Here is a 27877-nt window from a genome sequence, read left to right as displayed (position 1 = left end):
CCACGGAGGAATAAGAATTTGGAATGGGTACAGATAGAGCAGATGACTGCTGTTTTTAATTAAAAGTCTAGAGTATTTGGCCTTTCAAATCATGCACATGTATTACTTTGATGAAATATAAAGTATAATTTAAAGAACTTAAGCCAGGTGCGGTGGCTCATGCCTGTAGTCTCAGATACTCAGGAGGCTGAGGTGGGAGTATCACTTGAGCCCAGGAGTTTGAGTCCAGCCTGGGCAACATAGCGAGACCCTGTCCCTTAAAAAAAATAAAATAAAAAGACGATGTAGAAATGGTAAGGAGAAGGATTGGAAGGAGAGCCTCCAGCTATCCACGTGGGTCAAGTGCCCAGCTGGGCTAACCAGCTATGACCAGGCAGCCAGTAGGGTCGAGAAGGAATATGGCAGCTTCTATAAGAACGACAGGGGAGCAAGGCAGGAAGTAGGATGCTTCCCAAAAGGACAGGGCCAGTCTTGAAACTGGGGAGGCTCTTTGGGTAGGCAAAAATAACAGGTGTCCACTGCTGGCCCAGCTTTGGATTGATTTCTATTTGATACAAATCCATTCAGAAAAACTTCACTGAGCATCACTTTAGCCCCCGGGTCAGTTCTAAAGTTGTGGATACAAAAATGAATCCGACACAGGCCTTGCCCTGCTCATAATAACAAAATCCACCAAAAGTGCTTTCATCCTGTGCCAGGCTCCACTCACATCTGCAGGTATTAAATCGCTTAATCCAAAAAGCAATCCTCCTGGGTGAGCACTAGCATTAACCCACTTACAATGAAGGAACTGGGGTTAACCAACCTCCCCAGCATCCCCGGTCAAGGAAGCTGAAAGGTAGGCCCAGGCAGCCTCTGACCCCACACAACAATGATGAGAACACACATCTCGTATTATTTCCCAGGTGCCAGACACTGACAGGTGCTCTGCTGGTATTTTATGATTTAATTCTCACAAAACTCTATGAAGAGAGCACTGCTGGTGTTTGCATTTTACCTGTGAGACTTAGAGAGAATTGTCTGCCTCACGGATGACCTTCAGTAGTGAGGGTGACTTGGGTCCTTTGGGAACTCTCACCTATCCCACCCCAGTTCCTATGGACCCCAACTTCCAATCCTGGGCATGCCCCAGACTCTGTAGAGGCCACGCAGCGGTTCAGCACTGAGGCATCCAGAATTCAACTCTCCTCTGCCTTCTGCCCTTAACACCAAGGCCTTCTAAGGCAAAGATTTTGAATCCTGAACAGGGGTTGCCACTATCTACGGGTCAGGCTGTATTTTAAGGCACTGCAGAGGTGGCAGCTTCACTGCATGCTTTCTTTTCATTTCTTTTTCCTGCTTTCCTTTTTCACTGGCCTCCTGGAATGTTCTGTCCCAGGTCTCCACATGGTCCCTGCCCAAAACACAGGCTCACCCAACACCCACCCTTCCCTATTTGTTTCCCCTGTGTCTTCTCCCCAGCTGGCACACAGTTCGGCTCACTTATGATGTTTACCGTCTTTCTCTACCCCAGGATGTAAACTCAATGGGGCAAAGATTTTTGTCTGCTTTGTTTACTGATTTATCTTTAGCACCCAATAGAATGTCTCACAATGCTAAGTACTCAAAAATGTTTGAAGCAATGAATGGAAAAAAGAATGAATAAATGTCTTCCAACTTGCTCCCTCTTGCCCAAGGGTTGCCCCAGAGGCCCTCAGGGCAGTAAATCATCTAAGTTCTTATATTCCTGAAAATATTTTTATTTTGCTGTCATATATAAATAAAAATTTAGCCAGGTGTGGTGGCGTACACCTGTGATCTCAGCTTCTCGGGAGGCTGAGGCAGGGGAATCACTCAAGCCCAGGAGTTTAAGACCAGCCTGGACAACATAGTGAGACTCCATCTGGAAAATAATAATAATAATAATTTTCTGAGTTATAAATGAAAATTTATCTGACATAAAATTATAGGTTCAAAGTACATTTCCATCAACATTTGAAGAAAACACTCCTTCAGCTTTGTTCTTGGGAGATATAATGTGATTCTCTTGTTCCTCTAAAGGTGGAAGATGTTTCTCACTAGAGGCTTCTAGAGCCTTCTCCTTGATTCCATGGTCTCCCATGTCAGTGAGATGTGTGCAAATGGTGTTTTCTTATGTATCACCCCTGACACTCTGTGGCTTTTTCAGAAGGAGGCTCAGCATCTCTTGACAGATCCTAGTGTATTGTTATTACTCAATGTTTCTTTGAGTATTGTTCCCCGTCAGTCTTTCTCACATCTCCTCCTGGGTAGACATCGGCACCCTGTAGTTGCATCTTTCATTTGTCTTAATGTCTTGCTGGGACTTTGGGAGTTCGGTTGGCCATGGTCCACTCCTGCTCTCAGCCCTGCCCCTGGGGCATCACTGAATCTGTCCCCTCCCAAATTTCCTGGCCCTTTTTTCCTTTGGAGCAGCCACCTGCCACTCAACCACTTTGTCCACTCAGGAGCTGGCCAGCCCGTGTGTACCTGCTACTACCACAGATATATACTGCCCCTCGATCCTCAAAAGGACTGGGGGCCAGTTTTGGGACCTAACTAAGCAAACAATAAGCTGCAATACTGTACACAGTGACTCCCTAGGAGCAGACACTGTAACATGAGAAGAATGACCTCTGTGTCAGGGGTCTCCAGAGAAATAGAACCAACAGGATGGATAGATGGATGGATGGATAGACAGACAGACAGAAATAGATAGATAGGTAGGTAGATAGATAGATAGATAGATAGATAGATAGATAGATAGATAGATATAGAATAGATAGGATAGATATAGATAGAAGGTGTTAGATAGATATAGATGATAGATAATAGTGATAGACTAATAGATACATGATAGATAGATTAATAGATACATGATAGAGATAGATAGAGATGATAGATAGATAGAGAATTGGCTCACATGATTATGGTGGCGGAGAAGTTCTGAGCTCTGCAGGGTCAGGGCAGTGTGAAGACCCAGAGAAGCCAGTAATGTAAGCTCCAATCTGAAGGTCAGCAGGCTTGAGAGTCAGGAAGAGCTGATGTTTCCGTTCAAGTCTGAAGGCAGGAAGAAGCTGACCTTTCTGTTTGAAGGCCATCAGGCAGGAAGAATTCTCTTGCTCTGGACAGAATCCACCATTTTGTTCCATTCAGGCCTCCATTCACATAAGGGAGGGAATCTGCTGCCTGCAGTCCACCAGTGTCAAGGTCAATCATATCTAAAACACCCAACCTAATCATAGACCAAATGTCTGGGCACTCGATGGCCTGGGCAAGTTGACACATACAAGTCACCACCACAGTCCCCATGGGAGATGTGTCCTGGATGTGTGGAGGCCAGAGCAATTCAGTCTGGAGGGTGACGCCCTGAGCTGCACAGTCTCCATATTCTCTCTTCCAGGAGACACTCCTGAGGAGAGGCTTCAATCAGCCGCTTCCTAGATGAGTGACAGAGGCAGTGAGGGTCCCAGACACCATGTCATGTCAGTGATAGGGAGCAGGTATGGGTCTGTGTTCCTGGAGAAGAGGACTTCAGGGAGCCCTGACGGACAGCCCTGGGAGACAGGCATGGCCATGGAGGGTGGATGACCAAGATGTCAGAGTCCAGCTCAGGATTTCAAATACCCAGCCCTGGAACTGGGACCACTTCTCAGCAGCAAAGGGTTCTAGTGCTCCAAGTCAGTTATTAACCAGGATAACTACTTCTTTCTCATCAAAGTTCATTCTCTTGCCCTTCAACGGCACCAATGGATGCTAAAATGATGTGGTGATGCTGTGCCTTTTTTTCGCTGCTTCCAATCTGGGAACACACATTTTCCTCTCAGATAATTTTTGTCAAGCTTTTGAAATTCCTTAAAAGAAAAAGACCAAACAATTCCCATTGAGAAAGTGCCTGAACCAGACATCAAAGACAAGCTGAGTGTCCCCTTGCAAACTCCATGCACCAAGATGAAATCAGGAGAGAGCAAAGGAGGCATAAACTGTTACTTTCCTCAGACTAGAGGAATGGAGAAATGTTTTTTATCTTAGCAGTTGATTAGAGTGCATGGCCAGAGAAACAGTGGGTGCATTGAAATCACTACATGATCTTAGTGGCCTTGGAAGAAGCAGGATGGAGTCCTAAGGCAGCAGCACCTTTCTGATAGGGAAACAGGTACAGCGCAGATACCAGAACTGGCTCAGAGCACCCAGCCCAGTGTCATCCCCATTTGGCTGCAGACCGTGTGGGAGGAGAGTCTCCAACAGACAGTTTGCAGAAAGCAAGCACTTGACACTTGGCAAGGATATGGTGGAACGATTCTAGTTGCACATTAACCACAATAGTAATGTTCTTAAAAACCAATTAGGGAAAATAATTTGCCAGTAATGCTTAAATAGCCATAAAGTCTTCTCAGTAATTTCATTGCTAGACAGTTTGCATAAATCAATAGTCCTCCCCAAAGGGAAAGGCTGAATCCATGAAGATACATGTATGTTGCCGATAGTCTTCACTTTCATGACAATGTGCTGTAGTGAAACATCCAGTCAGGACGCGGCGACATCATATGTCAACACAAAGAGACCTGGCACAGCCCTCCAGAGGGACAATTATGATGACTGCTTAACAACATTTTGTTTAAAAAGCTAATAAGTGACAAACAGAAGTAAAAAATTACAACCATGCTATATTTAGATGTGCAAGGACAGTTGATGTGTCAGAGTAGTGGGATTCTGGATTTTTTTAACAGATTTAATCTGTTATTCTTGTAACAATACAGTTACATAAAATGTTCTGCAAGCAGCATGTTAAATTTTCAGTGTCTGCTAACATAGATAAATCCACTTTAGAAATGAGGGAGCCCCACTCTAATGACCAGGTGGGAAATAAACTGCTCATGCGGCTACTCGCGGTCTTCAGAGCCGCCCTTGGCCACCCATTCAAGGACGGATGTCAGAATTCCCAGCTCCTTCTCTCGGAGCTGTCCAGCCTCTTCCCTACACCCTGGAGCTGTCCAGCCTCTTCCCCACGCCCTGCCTGTTGTCATCTGTAGCACACTTCATCCAAGCTTAGGCGTTTGATCTTGATCCCCAGGGAAGGGACACAGGGGATTTACCTAAAATTACCTAAAACACAAACTCATGCCTTCATTTTCTCACAGGCATTGTGGCGAGTATTCCCAGTGTGGGGTTTCTGAATGGTTAGGGGAGAGGGAGAGAGAGAGACAGAGAGAGACAGAGATCTTTACCCAGAGAGTTGAGAACATGTGGGAGGGAAGCTCTGGACTCAAGGAATCAGCTTCAGATCCCAGCTGTGCTAGGTATTGCCCCTAAGATAGAGTTAACATTCCCTCAAATGCCCACCCTACATTCTGCAGGAAAATGGAAGCCTTCGCAAGACTCTTCTAAATCCTAGGGGATTTACATCTCCCCTGGCCTCCAAGTTCTCCTGGTTCTAGCTCCAAATTTCTGAATTTCCAGCTCATCACATCTGTGTGACGTTTCTTTCATTTCTTTTCTGTTCCCTGTCTGGGTGACAAAAGAGTCTGTAAAACATGCAAAAATGCTTTCTTTCATACAGCCTACATTCTGGTAAGTAGAGGCAGAAAATAAACACAATGACCAAAATCTAGAGTATGTGAGATGGTGTTACGGGTTGCATTGTGTTCCCTCAAAATTTAGATGTGGAAGTCCTAATATTCAGGACCTCAGAATGTGACTTTCTTTGCAGATAGGGTCCAGACAGAGGTAATCTAGTTACAATGAAGCCAACAGGGTAAGCCCTAATGCAGTATGACTGGCATCATTATAAGGGGAAATTTGGACACAGGCATACGTAGAGGAAAGATGGGTGGAGACACAAAGAAGACAGCCATCTCCAAGCCAAGGAGAGGGGCCTGCAGCTCATCCCTCCCTCTCAACCCTCAGAGGAACCAGCCCTGCAACACCCTGATGTCAGGCTTCTGGCCTCCAAACTGTGAAACAATAAACCTCCATCGCTGAAGACACCCAGTTTGTGGCACTTGGTTACAGCAGCCCTAGGAAGCTACTGCAGGGGGTGACGAGTGCAGTAGAGAAAACAGAGGAATGTGGAGGAGAGAACAGGGTCAGGAGAGGAGGCTGGACTTCCTCACCAGGGAAAATTCAACCACAAAGGTGACCTTTGAGCAAAGATTGAAAGAGAAAAGGGGACAGACCAGGTGACCAAAAACTGAAACAAGTGCTACTGGATGTCTGGATAGTGCGTTTTGAACAGATGAGGGTGATAAGTTTAGAGAAGTAACAGGGTCCCCGTAGGGTCTGGAAAGGACCTTGGCCTTTGCTCTGAGTAATGGGGGAGCCATGGCAGGGTTTTGAGAACAGTGACACGTGCAAGGGTCACTTTAGTGTCTACATTGAGTGTTGAGGCAGAGGCTGGACATAATTTCTGAGGACGTTGCCAGTAAGAGCCAGTGGTGGCTTAGTCAGGTGGCAGCAGGGAAGTAGTCAGATTCCAGACATGCTGTAAGGCTGAGTGCCCCGCATTTGCTCATAGACTGGGCATGGATTGTGAGCGTAGCAGGGGAACCACAGTGGATATCAAGGCTTCTTTCTTACCCGGAAAAATAGGGCTACCATTTGTAAAGTTGGAGAGACAGTCAGGAGCAACTGTAGGGAGTGATAAGACCTGGTGCTCAGTTTGGGACAAGCTGAGATGTGGAGCACCGTTTGAAGTCCAAGTTGAGATGCCTCATAGGAAACTGAGTGTACAAATCCATGGTTCCAAGGAGAAATACAGACTGGGGATTTAAAAAAATTGGAGATTGTAGCATATAAATGGATTTAAAACCAAGAAACTAGAGGAGATTACCAAAAGGGTGACACCTTGAAGCTCATTCTTCTTGAAACTTTCTTTCCTTCAAAATGCCATTTGCACAGAGCAAAGATAAGCAATAAGTATACTTTTATTAAAGACCAAGAACATGAGACCAAGGCAAGAAACTAAATGAAAACAGGCTGCTCAAACTGTGGATCAGCAGCTGCAAGATCACAAGGAACTTCTCAAAAATGTGGAGCTTCGGGGCTATTCAGAAGCAGACATTAAAGTTTGAGAAGCACAACTAAAGTGCACATAATTTTAGAAATAAATATATTTTTGAATGGCTCTCCATCATACACTATATAAAAAATCCAGCCAGGCATGGTGCTACACACCTGTAATCCCAGCACTTTGGGAGGCCGAGGCAGGCAGATCACCTGAGGTCAGGAGTTCAAGACCAGCCTGACCAACATGGTGAAACCCTGCCTCTAGTAAAAATACAAAATTAGCCAGGCGTGATGGCGCAGGCCTGTAGTCCCAGATACTCGGGAGGCTGAGGCAGGAGAAGCACTTGAACCTAGGAGGCAGAGGTTGCAGTGAGCCGAGATCATGCCACTGCACTCCAGCCTGGGTGACAGAGTGAAACTCCATCTCAAAAAGAAAAAAAAAAAAAACCAACTTGAGCAAAAACTCAAGTGTAAAAAAACTAAAATAATAAATAAATGCAAGAAAAATCTAAGAAACTACATCTACTATTTAGCGGTCATGGAGAACTTCCTAACCAAGTCTGGAAGTCAGAAGCTGTAAAATAAAAGGTATATTTGAGTAGGTAAACATGAAAAACTGGTTTCCAGTTCCAGCCAAGATGGAGTAGCCTCATTCCCCCAGGGTCCTCCTTCCTACAATTAAAACCCCTTACAAATAAAATGTCAGCTGTGATATATTACATATATATGGGGTGGGAAAAAATCAGTCTCAAAAGGTCATATAGCATAACATTTCATTTACAAAACGTTCTCAAAGTAACTAAACTATAGATATGGAAAGCAGATTAGCGGTGGCCAAGGGATAAAAAGGAGTGGTGTTAGGTGTAGGCATGAACAGATACGGTAGCACCAGCTGTTTTGTGGTGATGTGCACTGCTGTATCTTGATTGTGGGGGTGGTTACATAAATCTACACTCATGACGAAACTACATAGAACTACTGTAGTTCTCTGTGTTTGCAGAGAACTACACGTACACACACAGGCACACACACACACACCATGCACATAAGTGCAGCTTTTAAAAAATGGTGAAAACTGGCAGGGCGCAGTGGCTCACACCTGTAATCCCAGCACTTTGGGAGGCCAAGGCGGGTGGATCACCTGAGGTCAGCAGTTCAAGACCAGCCTGGTCAACATAACAAAATCACGTCTTTACTAAAAATACAAAAATTAGCCCAGTGCAGTGGCAGGCACCTGTAATCCCAGCTACTCGGGAGACTGAGGCAGGAGAATCACTTGAACCTGGGAGGCAGAGGTTGCAGTGAGCCGAGATCGAGCCACTGCACTCCAGCCTGGGCAACAGAGCGAGACTCTGTACCAAAAAAAAAAATGGTAAAAACTAAATAAGGTCTATAGGCTAGTTAACAGCAATGCACCCACATCAGTTTTCTGGTTGTGACAATGTACTGCTATCCATAGTTGTGCAGATGTAACATTAGTGACTTAGCTACATAAGGTATCACAAATGTGGCAGGTGGGCGAAGGGTACACAGGACTCTGTATTTACTTTTACAATTTCCTATGAGTCTATAACTATTTCTAACTAAAATTTTTCACAAAAGAATAACAGACTTCCATATGGCAAAAGACATTATAAACACATGATAAATCGGGAACAAATATTTGTCATGAGATGACAGAGGGTTAATATCTATAATATATAAGAGCTCTGTTGTATTGATATGGAAAAGTCAAAATGGAGAAAGGATAAGAAAAGAAATTTACAGAGGAGCAAATCTGAACAGCTAACAAATGTGAAAGGATGCTCAAAATTACTAGGGACATTAAAATTTTAAAAGAATGAGATATCACTTTAAAAGAATTATACTAGTAAAAATACAAAAAGTGATAACACCCACTAAGTGACAATCCAAGGAAGATGGTACCCTCATGTATTGCTGGTAGGAATGCAAGTAACACAGCCTAGCTCTACGGCTATAGATTTTAACTTTCTGAAATGCACATATATCGGGGGAAATTCAGCCAGATACAGGTGAAATTCACCCCCGATATTTCACGTAGGTTCTTTTCTATATTCCCTAAGTGTCGGCCAGTCTGAGAAATAAAGGGACAGAGTACAAAAGAGAGAAATTTTAAAGCTGGGTGTCCGGGGGAGGCATCACATGTCGGCAGGTTCCTTGATGCCTCCTGAGCCGTAAAACCAGCAAGTTTTTATTAGTGATATTCAAAAGGGGAGGGAGTGTATGAATAGGATGTGGGTCACAGAGATCACATGCTTCATAAGGTAATAGAGTATCACAAGGCAAATGGAGGCAGGGCGAGATCGCAGGACCACAGGACCAGGGTGAAATTAAAATTGCTAATGAAGTTTCAGGCACGCATTGTCATTGATAACATCCTATCAGGAGACAGGGTTTGAGAGCAGACAACCGGTCTGACCAAAATTTATTAGGCAGGAATTTCCTCATCCTAATAAGCCTGGGAGTGCTACGGGAGACTGGGGCTTATTTCATCCCTACGTCTTCGGCCATAAAAGACGGCCACCCCTCAAAGCGGCCATTTTAGAGGCCTACCCTCAGGAACACATTCTCTTTCTCAGGGATGTTTCTTGCTGAGGAAAATAATTCAGTGATATTTCTCCCATTTTCTTTTGAAAGAAGAGAAATATGACTCTGTTCCGCCCGGCTCACCGGTGGTCAGAGTTTAAGGTTATCTCTCTTGTTCCCTGAACATTGCTGTTATCCTGTTCTTTTTTCAAGGTGCCCAGATTTTATATTGTTTAAACACACATGCTCTACAAACCATTTGTGCAGTTAACGCAATCATCACAGGGTCCTGAGGAGACACACATCCTCCTCAGTTTACGAAGATGATGGGATTAAGAGACTAAAGTTAAGACAGGCATAGGAAATCAAAACGGTATTGATTGGGGAAGTGATAAGTGTCCATGAAATCTTCACAATTTATGTTCAGAGATTGCAGTAAAGACAGGCATAAGAAATTATAAAAGTATTAATTTGGGGAACTAATAAATGTCCATGAAATCTTCACAATTTATGTTTTTCTGCCATGGCTTCAGCCGGTCCCTCCGTTCAGGGTTCCTGACTTCCAGCAACGTTTTAACATGTATCATAAGATTTTGGACTGTCCCGAAGAAATAACAGCACCAGTAGATAAAGGCATATTTATGCATGAGACATTGAATGCAAAGCTATTCCGATGGCAAAAACCTGGAAACAAAGTGAACGCCCTTTAGTAGGCAGATGGCTGGATCAATCATGGTAGCACATTCCCACTGTGGGTTATTATTCAGCCATTAAAGACTATGAATCGGTGGTACCAGGTTAGCCTAAGGATTTCTACTAGGGACAGCTGAATGGGGAGAAATGCTGTAAGGTAATACACAAGTCAATAGGAAACTGGAAAGGGACATCCACAATGTTTTTGACATGAGTCACCCTGGAAGCAAAAAGGAGGAGGGAGAGGAGAAGAAGGCGAGGAAGAAAAAAATAAATTATCATCTGAAAATTATTTAAAATAAATACGTTTTTAAAATGTTGTGTGACCACATGTGCGTATTTAAATGAAATGATGTATCTAAGTGGGTATGTGCACAAATAAATTAAAAGTAATTGTAAAACTTGGACACCTGAAAGTCCCCCAGCCTTTTCTGCTGACCAAGGCCATGGGCCTGGCTCTGTCTCTTCCATGGCTCCCTCCCTCGTGGTCTCTCCTCTCTCCCAGGCAGCAGAGGCCCTACTCTTTGGCAGGCTTGCTTCACTGTTTCTAGGTTCTCTCTGCCCAACCCATGCCCTCTGGACTGTGCCTTCTACCCTCTTAGTTACTCTCCTAAACAGAGTTAGTTCACTCCCTAAGAGAAATTATCCCACTAGCTGACAAAAATGAGCAGTTGACTCACCCTGCCCCTCAGTCTCTGTGTGCCTCCGTGTCACTGTTTGGAAAGGGAGAGATTAATAACAGCCATGTTCTGCTGTGGGGAGCTAGAAACACAGTCCACTGCCTGTCCTAACAAAGTCCTGGGACACTGGGCCTGACCCCACTCCCTTCACTCCCTCTTCTCTCCTCAGCTATGCATCTCCCACAGTTTGTCAGGATGAGAGGCCTTGTCACCTGCTCCCAGATATCAGGTCCTCCCCGGCAGCCTGTACCCAGCATGTAGTTCCCACAGAGCCCACCTCCACCACTACCCCCTGAAATGCGCAAGTCAGCTCCCTGGGGACAATAATCGCTGATCAGCCCGTGTCTCCCAGCTTTTTCTAATCTCCTTAGCACATCTTTTTAAAGAAATGTATTTAAAACTTTCTACCAGTAACTTAATAATTCGAGGCCTTGCCTTCCTGAGGAATTTGCATTTTAATGAGAGGCAGTGCCCTTAGCCCAATAAACAAGGTGAGGCCCAGCCTGGTCACCTCCCAGATGTGGAGAAGGAAACATGGGGTTCACATGAGGAGTTTCAGGACCCAAACCAGCAAATGGCGAACCACACCACTCACCTGGGCCTGGCTCTGCGGTATAGAGGCTTGGGATCTGCATTTGCCAGACCATCCAGAAAGCCGGCTTCCTCGCTTTCCCTTTGTTTTTCTGCTCTTGTAGCTTATAACCCGTCTTGCATTTGCCTAAAGGGCTCAGAGCTTTCTCAAGGTCATTAACTCGAGTCATAGCCGAGCTCACAGGGACTGGAAGGACCATAGCCACACAAGGACCCCCTACTCCAGCCCTGGTCCCCAGCTCAGTCCTCCCAGGAGGAGCATCAGGCTGTCCCAGGGCTTCTTTGAGGACTCCGGGGTTATGGGAGGAGCCCTGGGCTGAAAGTCAGGGGATGAGGGCCCCATGCATGGTCTTAGCCCTAACTCTCCCTGAATGTGCAAAGCCCTTTTCCCTGTCCCTCCTAGTCTGTGAAATGTGTAAGGGTATGGGCAGGTGACACTGGGTCCGCAGGTCCCCAGGCCCCTCCAGCTCCTGTCTCTACAATGCACCAGGGACGGGAGCGCTGGAGATGCTCTGAATCAAACCTAAGCAGATCTATGAGACAACCCGGTTCACTCCTCAAAGGCATGGCCCTCCTTTTTACATGCTTAAGACAGCAACCAGCCCCTTCATCAGTGAGAAGAAACTGCCCTTTGAGGTTTGAAGAGCAGGGTCAGGGTCTTCCACCCTCAGCGCACCCATTGGGCGAGTTCAGTGTCTGCAGTGCAGCGCGCCGCCGGCAGGGGGCGGCAGACGCCAATCCACGGCGTTCGGGACGCGCCAGAGATATTGGGTCCGTGCAGGTGGCTTGGTTTGGGGACCTCAAAGATGCATCCTGCTAACCCGGATCTGATTGCGCGCGCATGCACCGTCTCACCGCGTACTTCTGCTCCCTGCACCCTGCCACAGCCACAACCAGCGCCTGGAACGCAGCTGCTCCTTATTTGTTGAGTGGATGAATGAATGAATGAACGAATGGCGGTGGAAGTCAGAACACAATTTGGTGTGAATAAGGAGTTCCGGTTGAGAATATCTGAAGATGCCCCTCCTACCTTGCTCTGTGGCCCTGCGCAAAAGCAAAACCTCCCTGCCAGGCCATCTGCTCCGAGCTGGCGTCCGGGAAATCAGGGGCCCCTCCTATCTTGCGCTGGTGTCCAGGTACACCCTCACTCCTCCACTACAGGGTCCTTCTGTTGGAGCAGGAGGGAACCGCAGCCTGGAAGGGTGGGTGTGAACCATGAACCCAGATGACCAAGCCAGTGGAGGTGGCACAGGCAGTCCCCAAGGAAGGGGACACGTGTGTCCCGAGGTCAGAACTGAGAAGCTCTTCAACTGCCACTGCATGTTTCTAACTTCTAGAAACCATCAGGATGGATCTAATTTCTCATGTGGAAACTGGGGCTCTGAGCAGGTGAGTGGCCTCACCCACAGTCACACTCAGCTCGCAGCCCTCCTTGCCGTCTTCTATTTGCAGGGAATTTTCTAGGGAGCAGCAGGATGGACATTCACCAGAGGCGCCCATGGGGGCCTGGACAGTCCCCCCAGTTACCTTACATCTCCACTCTCCTGGGAGGAGCAGGCAGGGGCCACTGAGATCCATGGCGGTGGGTGGGGCTGGGTGCTCAACCCCATTTTGGGGAGGGCAGGATGTGGGGAGCAGGGAGCAGCTGGGGCTCCAGGCATTGTCTCAGGCACCTCCATTCCTTTCCCCACATGCAAGGTCATCTTTCTGTTGAAGTCCCTGCATGAATGAGCAGGACACCTCCCTACACAGAGGAGACACAAGGGAAGACAGGAGCCTGCTCACGGGAAAGGAGTGGTTTCCCCACCATCCAGACATGTGGGTCCTGGTGAGCTGTTTGCATCCAAAAGCCAGAGCTCTGCAAACAGCTCACCGGCTAGACAGCAGAGCACAGATGTGGCACATTCAGGTCAGGGCATACACTGATTGCCATCCTCTCCCATCCCTGGCTGCCCTCCACCTCCACACCACCCTTCTGGTGCCAGCTTTTCCTGTTCCCAGTCTGGGGCCTCTTCTCTCACCTCCTCACACTCCATCCTCAGTTCCAAATGCACCTCTATGTGGACGACCCCTAAATGCTTACCTCCAGCTGAGACTTCCCCCTTAATGCCATTTCATGTTTCCAGTCTGTCTGTAACATCTCCACCTGGGTGTCTGTAGGCTTCTCTCACCAGTCATATGCAAAACAGCATCCGGGCTCCCCATCCTCCCCCTGACCTCAGCCTCCCTGAGGACTCCTGTGGGCACCCCCAGCCTCCTTTGGGATACCTGTGACATAAAAATACTAAGAAAAAAATGCCTTTTCACTCTCACTTTCTCCCAAGTGGAGCTTTCTGGCACCTCCATGACTAATGGAATGGAACGGTTGCTTTGTATTCCTATTTTTTAAATTCCTTTGTTTGGATTTCTTATGTTAAACATGGAGAGACATATACACAAAAGTTCCTTGTCCCCTCAATATTTTTAAGAACACCAAGTGCAAATGTTTCAGAACCACTGTTTTAAATCCCATCATCTTCCTTCACCTTCCAGCACTTTCCTTCTCACTCAGAGGAGAGATAACCCAGCACCCTGCAGGAGCCCAGCAACCCCCATGGCCTGTGTCCTCTGCTTCTCCTGCTTTCGGCCTGGTTGAATGCATCACTGAGGATTTTCTATTGGTTCCTGGAATTTAGTGTGATTGTGTCTACCATTTGTGGTAGACTGTTGCTTGGACAGTTATCCTGTGGCATGTCAGAAGAGTCCTGGCGTCCAAAGATGTGACTAGGAGCAGAATAATGTTTTCCAATGCATGGACTAAAACCCTTACGATTTGAAAGGCAATGGAGTTGTGATATTGTGACATGTGTGTTTCTTCATTATGCATTAAATACAACGAGATCCAGCAGAATGTGTAGCAAGCACCGTAATTTCATTTTATTTTATTTTATTTTTATTTCACTTTAAGTTCTGGGATACATGTGCAGAATGCGCAGGTTTGTTACATAGGTATACATGTGCCATGGTGGTTTGCTGCACCTATCAACCTGTCATCTAGGCTTTAAGCCCCGCATGCATTAGGTATTTGTCCCAGCGCTCTCCCTTCCCTTGTCCCCCAACCCCGACAGGCCCCAGTGTGTGATGTTCCCCTCCCTGTGTCTATGAAGCACCGTAATTTTAAAGCACTGGTGAGAAACCATATTTCAGAGTATCTGCCGTAACTGTAATTGGATATGGAACTATCTGTGATTTCTCTTGGTGACAAAGTCACAGGAGCTGGTAATAGCACTGTCACTACCCCTAGGGCAAGTATTAAGGACAGTAAGCATACCTTCACTGCCCACCTGGTGGGCTGGAGCCAACTGGAAACAGGCCAGTTTGATAGAAAATGTGTATGTGTGTGCATGTACATGTGTGTCTCTGTGTGTCCACATGTGTGCATGTGGGTCCATGTGTATGTGTGTGGCTGTGGGTATGTGCATGAGTATGCATGTGTATGTGCATGTGTGTGCATGTGTGCACATGTGTGTCTCAACTCTGCCACTGGTGAGGTGCACTGGAAACTCTGGAGCCTGGCATGCAGCCACAGCTGGACTCCTTCCCACCTACACACCCCCTCCATGGGCAGCTTCAAGTGTGCAGAGCAGACACATTTACCCAGAAGGACACACCAGGGACAAAGAGGAAAAGAGAGACAGGCTTCCTGACCCTCCAGAAGGAAGGGTTGCACGGGAGGAGCAGGGCCACCACTTGCCCCAGGCAGGTCTGGAAGGAACCAGGTCTGAGGGCTCATACCATCCCTGCTCCTCATGTCATCAGTCAGTCATAGCAGGAGAAGCCAAGGCCTCTCTCCCAATTCTGTAACTCCAAAAAGAGCTAGCTCCAGGTTCTCAGGCCCAGGCGTGGAGGAAGAGAGCAAGAGAACAGTTTCTGTACATCAGCAGTTCTCTGTCCTGCTCATCTGCTAGTCTTCACCCTAAAGCTTGGGTCCTCAGGGGCGGCTGGGCCCTCAGGAGAGACTAGCAGTGCCATGAGGCAGGCTACTCCCAAAGCCAGCCACCACTTCTTCATGACTCCTCCTGGGACTAGTTAGCTTCCATCCACAGAGGGCTGTGAAGTGGGTATGAACAGGGCATTACTGAGACTCTGTGGCCACCTGTCCCCTCAACAAACCTCTCCCATGTTTATTTCCTATCTCAAATTATGCTTGTGGTATGTGTCAAGTTGGCTAGACCATGACACCCAGATGTTTGGTCAAATGCCGGTCTAGATGTTGCTGTGAAGGTATGTTTTTAAATGAGATCAACGTTGAAACCAGCAGACTTTGAGTAACGCAGGTGACCCTCCACAGTGTGAGTGGGCCTCATCCAATCGGCTGAACATCTTCAGAGAAAAAGACTCAGGTCCCCCGAGGAAGAGGGAAGTCTGCCTCCAGACTGACTTTGGACTCAAAACTGTAATATCAACTCTTCCCTGAGTCTTCAGCCTGTTGGCCCGCCCGGCAGATGTCAGACTTGCTGGCCTCCATAATCACATGAGCCAATTCCTCTGTCTATAGATAAATATAGATAGATGGACATCGAGATAGAGCTGGAGAAATACAGATACAGACAGATTTCTACCACCTATTGATTCTGTTTATATGGACTACTACAGATTTTAATACCAAGGATGGTTCTAGAGGAACAGAATCTTAAGCATTTTGAGAATCCTTAAGATCTTAAATCTTCAGGAGCTTTCTGAATTGCTTCTGGGGTTTCTGGAATTGGCTCTCTAAGCTGATTACCTTTAAAGGCACTGATGACTACTCCTAATAGTAGAGAGAATGCAGATAGTCCATGGTGTGATGTAACAGTAGAGTTAGGTAAAACATCACTGTTGAATACTCATAATCAAAAATTTATTAAGAGCCAAGGATCTGAGTGGTCATGCATATGGTACCATCAAACATTTTTAATCAAACTAACAAGTATAATGAGATTGGTTGACTGCTCCTGATGTCACTGGACAAAGCGGGGAAAGAAAAGGATGAGCTCGGGAAATCAAATGTTCAGCTCAAGCTCCGCATAAATGACCTGAAAGCTTCTATCCCTGCCCTGAAAGAGACCCTTATTTTCTGTAGCTGCAGAGCTGAGATTGCTGAAAACCAAAACTATAATTGAATCACACCCTACAAGTGGCTGAATTACAACACAAATTGAATTGGACAACCAAGCAGGATGTCTACTCTTAAAATGAGAAATTGATTGGGAAGAAAATGATACTGAAAATTGGTATGGGTGATACAGGAGTTATTACCGAGGCATTACTGAGACTCTGTGGCCGTCTAAGAACAAATCACTTAGGCAAATAGTGAGGGCATGGGAGTCCTCGGTAAGATTTTGTTTTTAATGAAAAGCAGCCCCAAATCATTTTCTAACAAAGAGCAGCCTGTAATGTTGAGCTGCAGACATAGACAAGCAGGCTGGGAGCTTGCACGGGTGAATGCCGGCAGGAACTAGGGACTAGACATGTTCAAGATGGCGGCTCCAACTTCCCTTCTTTGCCAGCCACCTGTACAGTAAGGAGCAGACAAGATGGCTGCTGGCCAAGGGGAGAGTTTATTTGCCTTGTAAGACTAGGGTGCGGTGACCAGCCTTCCCCACACACCATGTAAACGTCATACCTGATGGAACCAATCTGTGAGCCCTACGTGAATCAGACACCCTCTCCTCAAGCCAGACTATAAAATCCCACACATCCCCTGCCAGCCAGTCTTTCCGCTTGGAAGTCCCTTCTTTCAATAGAGAGAGCTGTTCTCCTTTCTCTTTCTTCTGTCTATTAAGCCTCCACTCCTAAACTCCTCATGAGTGTTCGTGTCCTAAATTTCCCTGGCACAAGATGACGAACCCCAGTTATATACCCCAGACAAGGTAGCCACTTCATGGGGACATGTGGGAAGACCCTGATGAAACTGGAGACATTGATCCTCTGTGTTCTGGTAAGTCTTCCTTGCCAGTAGAAGCAGCCTCTCCAGCCCTGACTGAGGGGATTAACTCTGCATTGCCTGGGGAAGCTGCAAAGGCCTCCCCTGAGGCAGCTGCCATGCAAAACAGTGCTGATTCTCCTTGGGACCCAACCCCAACACCCCTTTTTGCTTCTAGAGCTAGAACTAGACCAGAGTCCCAGCATGCCTTTAACAGTAAGGATCAAAGTGTGCCCCATGAGGAGGTGTGCTGCACTCCCAAAGAACCACTTTAGCCAGGGATAGTGGCTCATGCCTGTACCTGTAATTCCAGCACTTTGAGAGGCCAAGGTGGGCGAATCACTTGAGGTCAGGAGTTCGAGGCCAGCCTGGCCAACATGGTGAAACCCCCGTCTCTACTAAAAATACAAAAATTAGCCAGGCATGGTAGTGGGTGCCTGTAATCCCAGCTACTCTGGAGGCTGAGGCATGAGAACCACTTGAACTGGGGAGGCGGAGGTTGCAGTGAGCTGAGATCACACCACTGCACTCCAGCCTGGGTGACAGTGAGACTCAAAAAATAATAATAATAATAAAAATACTTTGGTTTTCTAATTTATACAGACAGAAGTCTGGGAAGCATGCGTAGAAATGGATATTAAAGGTGTTGGATAATAGTGAAAGAAACATAAAAAGTTGGATTGGATCAGGCTGAATTTATTGATATGGGCTCCCTAAGCAGTGATTCTCTATTTAATGTTGCAGCTCAAGGAGTTAGAAAAGGTTCTGTTTGGTTGGTTGACTGCAACACGGGCCAGAAGGTGGCCTACAGTAAGTGAGCTTGAAATGATGGACCTGCCTTGACATGCTATAGAGGGAGGGATTCAAAGACTTAGGGAAGACCGGGCGCGGTGGCTCACGCCTGTAATCCCAGGACTTTGGGAGGCTAAGGCGGGTGGATCACGAGGTCAGGAGATCGAGACCATCGTGGCTAACACGGTGAAACCCCGTCTCTATTAAAAATACAAAAAAATTACCTGGGCGTGGCGGCGTGCACCTGTAGTCCCAGCTACACTGGAAGCTGAGGCAGGAGAATGGCGTGAACTCGGGAGGCGGAGCCTGCAGTGAGCCGAGATGGTGCCACTGCACTCCAGCCTGGCTGACAGAGCAAGACTCCGTCTCAAAAAAAAAAGACTTAGGGAAATTAGAATGTTCAAGTGGATTTATCATTTAAGATCTGCTCACCCTCCTGGGAGGGTACCTACACACCCATTCTCTTACTCCAATCAGGTGGCACCACCTACCATCCACAGTCCTTGAGAATCCCAGAAAAGAAACAGAGGAACGATATTTTCCTGACCTAGTCTATGATGTGAGCCATAAGGATTTGCCCAATAGTCCATGCCTGGTCTCTGCTCAGATCAGTACTGGGGTGTGGCTGCTGTTTCTGGCTGCTCTGAACTTGGAATGGACAAGAGAAACACATGCAGGAAATGGCAAGGCAGGATGTCTGCCCTGGAAAAGATGGAGAGAGACACAGAGAGACAGAGAGAAAAAGACACAAAGAAAGACACAGAGACAGACACAGAGAGACAGAGACAGGCAAAGAAAGAGAGAGACAGACAGAGAGATTGAGAGGAAAGAGAAAGAAAAACAAGATTGAGAGAGAAGAGAAGGAGACAGGGAGAGAGAAAGAGACTAAGAAAAAGAGTGCAGATGGCAGAGTTCTCCCAGGAGATCAGAGAAGCAAAGTGCAAGGAAAGGGCAGGAGAAGGTGGTCAGGTGCATTCCAGGACCAAACTTCACCTCAGTGTCCCTCAGACCTCAAGGGATGTGGCAGAACAAAGAGCAAACAGGGTGCCAGGGCTAGACCTGCAGGGTATCTCCTGGTTACCTAGGGACCACAGCCAAGGGAGGGGAGGGAGGAGCCCAGCATGGCCCTACCTACTGTAAACAGGCAACTACCCCTTTCTGAAAGGAGGGCAGAGCCAAACACTTCTGCTCCCCTAAACAGGAGCCAAGACTGTGCATGGATCAGTGATGCAATGGGAAGGAGTATCTCCTGGTCCCTCCCCATCTCTGTTTGTCTGTATCTCTCTCTCTCTCTCACATACACACACACACACACACACACACACACAGAGAGAGAGAGAGAGAGAGAGACAGAGAGACACAGAGACAGAGAGAGACAGAGAGACAGAGACAGAGAGAGAGAGAGAGAAATGCCCATTATGGACTAAAATTCATGTTAGAATCCTAACCCCCAAGGTGATGATATTTGGAAGTGAGACCTTTGGAGCTAATTAGGTCATGAGGGCAGAGCCACCATGAATGGGCTCAGCACCTTCATAAAAAAGGCCCGAGAGCGCTCCCTTGTCCCCTCCATCATGTGAGGACATCACAAGAAGGTGACCGTCTCCCAGCTGGAAGCAGGTCCCCACCAGTCACCCCACAGTGCTGGCACCCTGACCTGGGGCTTTCAGCCTCCAGAACTGTGAGAAATAAATTTCTACCGTTTATAAGCCACGTCAGCTATTGTATTCCATCATATGAGCCCCAGCTGGCTGAGACGGTGCCCCAGCCTCTCCCAGGGAGTTTAACTTAACTGCTTTTCTCCACTTATTGCCTGGAGCACTCCCATCCCTGGGGCTGGGTTCTGGATGAGAGGCCAGGGATGGCACAGGTGCTCAGTGCCTCTCCTCCCTGCACATTGGAGGCTGCTACTGGAGGAGTCATGGAGTCAGTTACTTCTCTACCTGGGGTGAGGGGGCTTCCAGGCAGCCCCATACAGCTCCACTGTAGGGTATGCCCTGCATGTGAGCAGGGGATGCGGTCTTCTCACGTATTCTCCACAGCCCCTAGAGACGTAGAAAGCCGCGGCCATTCAACATATGTCACTGGGCAGGCGGTGCCTCTAATACTGGTAATGCTAGAGGTGATGTTTTTGGTAAACAGGCGGGGTAAGATTTGCCGAGTTCCTTTTACTTTTTTTAACCTTTCCTTATAAGCATGCCTGTGTTGGGTTAACAGTATGGGTAGCACCGGTTTGTCTAAAACCAGCCACTCTCTAACCCTGAAGCCCTGGGAAAGTCCCTTCATTTCTCAGGAACAGTTTCTCCCCTGGCAGGTGGAATAAGTCATAATAGAACCAACTCAGACCTCCTGGAGACTGGGAATTTATAGGGATATTAGCATAATAAGAAACAAATTTGATCTTGGAAATATAAGGAATGGTAAGAATTCAAAGTGACCATGTGATGAATGAATAAGCATAATGAATAAAATATGATATGATTTTCTATAACGACTGTATCATCCCTCCCCAACCCATCCCCAGCAAGTCCATGGTATGCATTTGTGCTAAAATAAAGCATGTTACTAAAATAAAATCTTCACCCTGAAGGATTTCCAATTTCTCCTGTCGTATTACTGACTTACAATGATTGACTATTTCTTTGTTATTATTATTATTTTAGGCAGAGTCTCACTCTGTCACTCAGGCTGGAGTGTAGTGGTGCCAACACAGCTCACTGTAGCCTTCACCTCCTCCTCCAAGTGATCCTCCTGCCTCAGCCTCCCAAGTATCTGGGACCACAGGTGTGTGCCATCACGCCCAGCTAATTTTTTTTTTTTAAGACAGTGTCTCACTCTGTTACCCAGGTTGGAGTGCAGTGGTGCGATCTCGGCCCACTGCAACCTCTGCCTCCCAGGTTCAAACAATCCTCCCACCTCAGCCTCCCAAGTAGCTGGGATCACAGGTGCACACCACCACATCTGGCTAATTTTTTGTATTTTTGGTAGAAACGGGGTTTCATCATGTTGCCCAGGCTGGTCTTGAACTCCTGAGCTCCAGGGATTCACCCACCTTGGCCTCCCAAACTGCTGGTATTACAGGCGTGAGCTACTGCACCTGGCCTCAGCTAATTATTTTATGTTTTGTAGAAACGGGGTCTCACCATTTTGCCCAGGCTGGTCTCGAACTCCTGGGCTCAAGCAATCCTCCCATCACGCCCAGCTGACTATCGCTTTAAAACAAGTGTTCCATTGGTTAAAACTTGGAAATTCTTATATATTTTTCGGTTTACAGTACTCAGAGAATTAAAATGGGGCATGATCATACTTTAGCTTTCCTTTTGGATTCTGATATAATAACTTAGTGATTAATAATAGATAACATTTTTGAATATTTAATATGCACAAGGAACTACTAGGTGCTTTACATGCATTATCTTATTTAATAAGACCATATCATGTATTATTACGACAATAATAGTCATCATTTGTTAAGAGCTTACCTCTAACCACAATCATCAAGCAACCCTTCAATCCTGTGGACCTGATGATCCCCAGGCTCAGAAAATTGTGTCCCAAAGCAAAAAAGTAGGAAATGGCTCAGCTGAAATGTGAATGCATATTTCTAACTTCAAAGCTTTTTCTTCCACGACTCATTGAACTATCACATTAGCTTTCCTTCTCTTCTGAACAACTTTTTGATTTGAACTTCTTTTGAACAGCATTTATTATTCAAGTATTTTTCCAAATATGTTCTTATCTTTTCCTTTCCTTAATGATTTCTTTTGAAGCAAAAAAGTTAAGACGAAGTCCAATTTATAGTTTTTGTTCCTTTACAAACTGTGCTTTTGGTGTTATATCTAAGATATCTTTGCCTAACCCAAGGTCTCAAAGATTTTCTCTTAGGTTTTCTTCAAGATTTTTATTTTATTAACCCTTAAAGTCTATGATACATTTTGAGTTATTTTGGTATACAGTAATGAAAGAATCTAAGTTTATCTTGGCTGGCAACTTCAATAATGTTTCATAATTTTCAGTATACAATTTTTGTACTTCTTTTGATAAATTTATTCTTACTTATGTTATTCTTTTTGATGCTATTGTAAGAGGTATTGTATTCTTACTTTCATTTTCAGGTTATTTGTAAATAAAAATACAATTGGTTTTTTTTTTTTTCTTTTGAGATGGAGTCTCACTCTGTCACCAGGCTGGAGTGCGGTGGTGCCATTTTGGCTCACTGCAACCTCCACCTCCTGGGTTCAGGCAAAATACAATTGATTTTTATAAACTGATCTTGTATAGTACATCCTTGTTATACTTGATCATTAGTTCTAACAGCCTGTATGTGTGTATATTTGTGTGTGTGTATATTCTTTAGGATTTTCTACATGCAAGATTATGTCTTCTGCAAACACAGTCAGTTTTACTTCTTGCTTTCAAATGTAGATACCTTTCATTTCTTTTCTTTTTTTTTTTGCCTGATTGATCTGGCTAGAACCTCCAGCAAGTTTTGAAAAGAAGTGGCAAGTGTACACATCTTCGCCTGCTATGAGTTTAGGTTTTTTTGTAGATGACTTCTATCAGGCTGAGGAAATTCCCTTCTTTTCCAAGTTTATGGAGAGTATTTTGTCATGAATGGACGTTGGATTTTGTCAAATACTTTTTCTGCATCTATTGAAGTGACCATGTGGCATTTGTCCTTTCTTCTATTAATATTAGTTGATTTTTTGAATGTTAAATCGACTTTGTAGTCCTAGGATAAATCCCTCTTGGTCATAGTGTCTAACCATTTTTAGATTTTGCTGGATTTAGTTTGCTAGTATTTCGTTGATAATTTTTGCATCTATATTCGTAAGAGATGTGGGTTTGTAGTTTCGTTTTTTTGTTGTTGTTGTTGTGGTATGTTTGACTGACTTTTGTATCAGGGCCTCATACAGTCAGTTGGGAACTGTTACTCTTTTTTCTATTTTCTAGACTAGTTTGTGAAGAATTGTTGTCAATTCTTCTTTAAGTGTTTAGTAGAACTTACCAATGAAGCCATATGGGCCTGGGCTTTTTCTGTGAGAAGTTTATAAATTACTAATTTAAGTTACTAATTAAATATTTTTACTTCTCATAGTTCTATTCAGATTTTTAATTTCTCCTTGAGTCAGTTTTAGTAATATGTGTCTGTCTAGTAATTCATCCATTTCATCTATGTTGTTGAATTTATTGGCATAAAGTTATTTTTAGTATTCCCTTTTAATCCTCTACTTTCTGAAAGATCAATAGTAATACCACTTTTTCATTATTAATTTTGATGATCTGTGTCTCCTCTTCCTCTTTTTCAATAATAAAAAGGTTAGCCAATTTTGTTGATCTTCTCAAAAAACCAACTTTTGGATTTACTGATTTTCTCCATATTTTTTCTATGTCTATGTCATTGGTTTCAGTTCTAATCTTAATTATTTAGTTTTCTCTTATTTTTAGGATTCTTGAATAAAATCCTAGGTTGTTGATTTGGGATTTTTATTCTTTTCTAATATTTCTTAAATTTTCCTTTGTTATCTTTACTAAATATTTAAGTCATTTTCTTGGCACTAGCTTTGAGGATTACATTACATATTTTAACTTAATCTTAACTTTATTGCAATAGTATAGAGAAACTTGACTTCAGTATAGTATCTTCTCTCCCCACTCCTTTGTGCTATAATTGTCATATAAATTACAACTTTATACACTAAAAGCTTATAACACCATTTTGCAATTGTTTTTTTCAGTTGTCATTTAAAATCAGTTAGGGGAAGAAAAGAGTTTAAAAATATATCTTTATACTATCTTTTGTCTTTTATCTTTTACCTGTACAATAACCTTTGCTGGTTTATTTCTTCATGTGGATCTGAGTTGCTAGTCTAGTGTCCTCTCTTTTCAATCTGAAAGACTCTCATTATATTTCTTATAAGTCATGTCCCCAACAATGAATTATCTCAGTCTTTGTTTATCTGAAAATGTCTTTATTTCTCCTTCACTTTTCAAAAATAATTTGATTGGATATAGAATTTTGAGTTGACAGTCTTTCTTTCAACACTTTCAACATTTTGAATATGTCATTTCACTGTCCTCTGACTCTCATGGTTTCTGATGAGAAGTCAAATGTTAATCTAATTGATAAATCATTTTTCTCTTGCTGTTTTCAAGATTTTCTCTCTCTCTGTCTTTTTTTTTTTTTTCTTTTTTTTTAACATGCTCTGTCGCCCAGGCTGGAGTACAGTGGTTCAGTCTTGGCTCACTGCAACACCCGCCTCCTGGGTTCAAGCAATTCTCATGCCTCAGCCTCCCAGGTAGCCGAGATTACAGGTGCACGCCACCATACCCAGCTAATTTTTGTATTTTTAGTAGAGATGGGATTTCATCATGTTGGCCAGACTGGTCTTGAACTCCTGACCTCAGGTGATCCGCTTGCCTCGGCCTCCCAAAGTACTAGGATTACAGGTGTGAGCCACTCCACCCAGCCGAGATTTTCTCTTTGACTTTCTTCAGTTTGACTATGATATGTTTACATTTAGATCTCTTTTTGTTTGTTCTACATAGAACTTCTTTTATGAACTTTTTGGGTGAGTAAATATGTTTCTCATCAAAATAGGAAAATTTTCAGCCATTATTTCTTCAAATAGTTTTTTTCTTCCTCTCTCCTTCACCTCTCCGTCTGAAACTACCATTATGTTGGTATACTTGATGGTGACCCATAGATCTCTGAGACTGTTCATTTTCCTTCATTCTTTTTTCTTTCTGTTCCTTGGACTAGATAATCTCTAGTGGTCTTTCTTCAAATGCACTAATTCTTTCTTCTGCCAACTCAAATTTGTTTTAATTTTTTTACTGAAGTTACTATATTTTACAACTCCAGAATTTCTATTTAGCTCTTTTCTATTATTTCTATTTTGTACTGATATTCATTATTTAGTGAGACGTAGTTGCCATACTTTCCTTTAACTCTTTAAACATAGTTGCCTTTAGTCCTTTGAAAATATTTATATTGGATGTCTTCTTTAGTTGGCAAAAAAAAAAGAGAAAATATTTAAAACAGCTGATGCAAAGTTGTTGTGTACAAAGTCCAACAACTGGGCCACTCAGAACACTTTTTATTGGCTGCTATTTATTTTTTCTGTGCATGGTCCATACATTCCTTGGGCTTCTTTTATGTCTTACTTCTTGTTGAAAACCGGGCATTTTAGGTAACATATTGTAACAACTCTGGTCAGATTATCCCCTCACCCCAGAATTTGTTGTTGCTGCTATTTCATTGTTCTTGCTCTTGAAGCTGCTTATTTTAATAACTTTCTAGGATTAATTCTGTAGATTCTATATTCCTTGCAATGTGCTGTCATTGAGTTCTCTGCTAGAGTTCTTTTAAGTTTTTATTTTTATTTTTAAGCCTGGATCCCTAAAAATTACCCTAAGTTCAGTATAGTTTAGCGGTCAGCCAAATATCAATCAGAAAATGTTCTTCAATACCTTAAGCCATCCTTTGCCAAGGGTGTTTGTAAAGCACACCTTAAAATTGTAGGCAGCTTACAAAACAACCTTGGTTTTCATTTCCTGCTTACACAGGATCTTGAGGTCAGCCAGACATGGTCTTCTCATTTCCCAGATCTTTCCTGAGCATCTCCTCAGACTTGCACACATCCAGGAATACGTCAGAGCTGTGGGAAGTTCCCTATGGTCATCTAGCTCTTCAGGTCTTCTTTTTAAATGTTTGGACAGGCTGTTTTTGTCCTAACTGAAATCACAACCTCACCTAGCTGCAATATTGCCAGCAAACTGCTATCGTTTTCGGTAATGGGATAGGGCTTTTTTTTTTTTTCCAGAGCTAAATTCTGAATCAAATCAAGGAACATCTACTCCATGGGAGAAATTTTCCAAGTTGCTTCTAGTTTAGTTGAACTACTGACTCTATTCTGAGGATGGGGCTTTTAGTAGGGCTCCCAAAATAATCATTCTTTTCACTTGGTTGTGAGGCTGCCAGCTGGGTGTGTGTGCATGCGCCTGTGCATGTTTGTGCATGCATATGTATGTGCACATGTGTGTTTGTGCATGTTTGTGCATGCATATGTGTGTGCATGTGTGTCGTACATGTTTGTGCATGCATAGGTGTGTGTGCATGTGTGTTTTGTGTGCATGTTTGTGCATGCATATGTGTGTGTGCATGTGTGTGTGTGGCTATCATGCTCATGCCACTGAGCTGGGGAGGAAGGACAGATGAAAAGAGCCTCAAGTTAAGCCACTACATACTCTGCTGTTCTTACTGAGGTTCAGTGGTTTATTTTCTTGAATGGATGCTTTTTTTAGTTTGTTCTGTACCTCTAGGTAATTTCCAGAGTTCTAAAATGTATTGGTTTCTATTGTTTTGCCATTATTTTGTTGATTTGTGGGAGAGCAGGTTCACAATATCCACTGTTTTAAAAGTCAATCCTTCTCAACAGCCTTTATTTTTAAGCTGCCTTGAAACCTTTTAGTAAGTAGTTGAAGTATAAAGCATTGAAAGATATTGTAACATATATTATAATCCTATAAGACTTAATAAAACTATCCTTTAGAAATATTAAGTCAATATATTAAAATATTTGAGAGGGTTTCCAGAACACTAAGGTTAGAACGTTACGAGCTCCATCTTCAGCCTGCACTATTGTACTTTAAATGGTTCTAGTTTTCTCAACAGAATTTGATATGACATTCAGGATAATATACACTTCTAGACACATCGGAGACTTTTGTCTGTGAATAGGACTCAACCCCTTAAAACCTCATCAAGAGGCTACTGTCTTAAGATTTCCTCCATATGACAGAAGCAAATGCTTATACACAAAGATCCACCAAGCAATGTAAAAGCAAATGCAAGCCACTGATAAATCATGTCTGACTAAAGTAACAGGATAGAAAATCTTAGCACACCTGTGTCTTAGAAGCCACTTTTATCAAGATGCTTAATGAACACTCTGGTGGAACTAACTCTGCATTTCCTTTTAGAGGCCATTAGAAATAGAAATGAAAGTCTGGAAACAGCTGATAAGCAGACTCTTACTGTTCATATAATTCCGTTATTATGACTGGCAATTCTGGATATCTCCAAGATGATGGACACGTGGCATTCACAAAGCTTGCTATTTGCTTCTGAGAATTTATAAGGGGTGACAGCCCAAGTCAAAGGATTTGCACATTTCCAGGACCAATATCCATCTGCCACTGGCCCTCTGTTGCTGCCACTTAGAGTAATGATTTGAAGGATTATTAGACTCTTGATATTGTTCACAAAGAAAAAAATGGGTATCTGCCGGGCACGGTGGCTCACGCCTATAATCCCAGCACTTTGGGAGGCTGAGGTGGGCAGATCACTTGAGGTCAGGAGCTCGAGACCATCCTGGCCAACATGGTGAAACCCCATCTCTACTAAAAATACAAAAATTAGACAGGTGTGGTGGCGCATGCCTGTAATCCCAGCTACTCGGGAGGCTGAGGCAGGAGAATCGCTTGAACACGGGAGGCAGAGATTGCAGTGAGCCGAGATCATGCCACTACACTCCAGCCTGGGCTAGAGAGTGAAACTGCATCAAAAAAAAGGAAAACAAAAAGAAAGAGAAAGAAAGAAGAAGGAAGGAAAGAAAGAAAGAAA

General features: G+C 44.2%; 1 long non-coding RNA gene across 1 annotated transcript; it reads left to right on the top strand.

Moving 5' to 3' along the window:
- Positions 1–12373: 12373 nt before the first annotated feature.
- Positions 12374–14403, top strand: LOC107986736 (uncharacterized). Its single transcript, XR_001745014.1, has 2 exons — positions 12374–12902; positions 14046–14403. It is a non-coding gene; the product is annotated as an uncharacterized LOC107986736 (long non-coding RNA).
- Positions 14404–27877: the final 13474 nt, after the last annotated feature.

This window comes from Homo sapiens, chromosome 7 (genome assembly GCF_000001405.40).
Source record: "Homo sapiens chromosome 7, GRCh38.p14 Primary Assembly".
In the NCBI taxonomy this organism is placed as follows: Eukaryota; Metazoa; Chordata; class Mammalia; order Primates; family Hominidae; genus Homo; species Homo sapiens.
The sequence above is the reverse complement of the archived record's forward strand: the minus strand, read 5'-3'. Positions and strand labels throughout refer to the sequence as shown.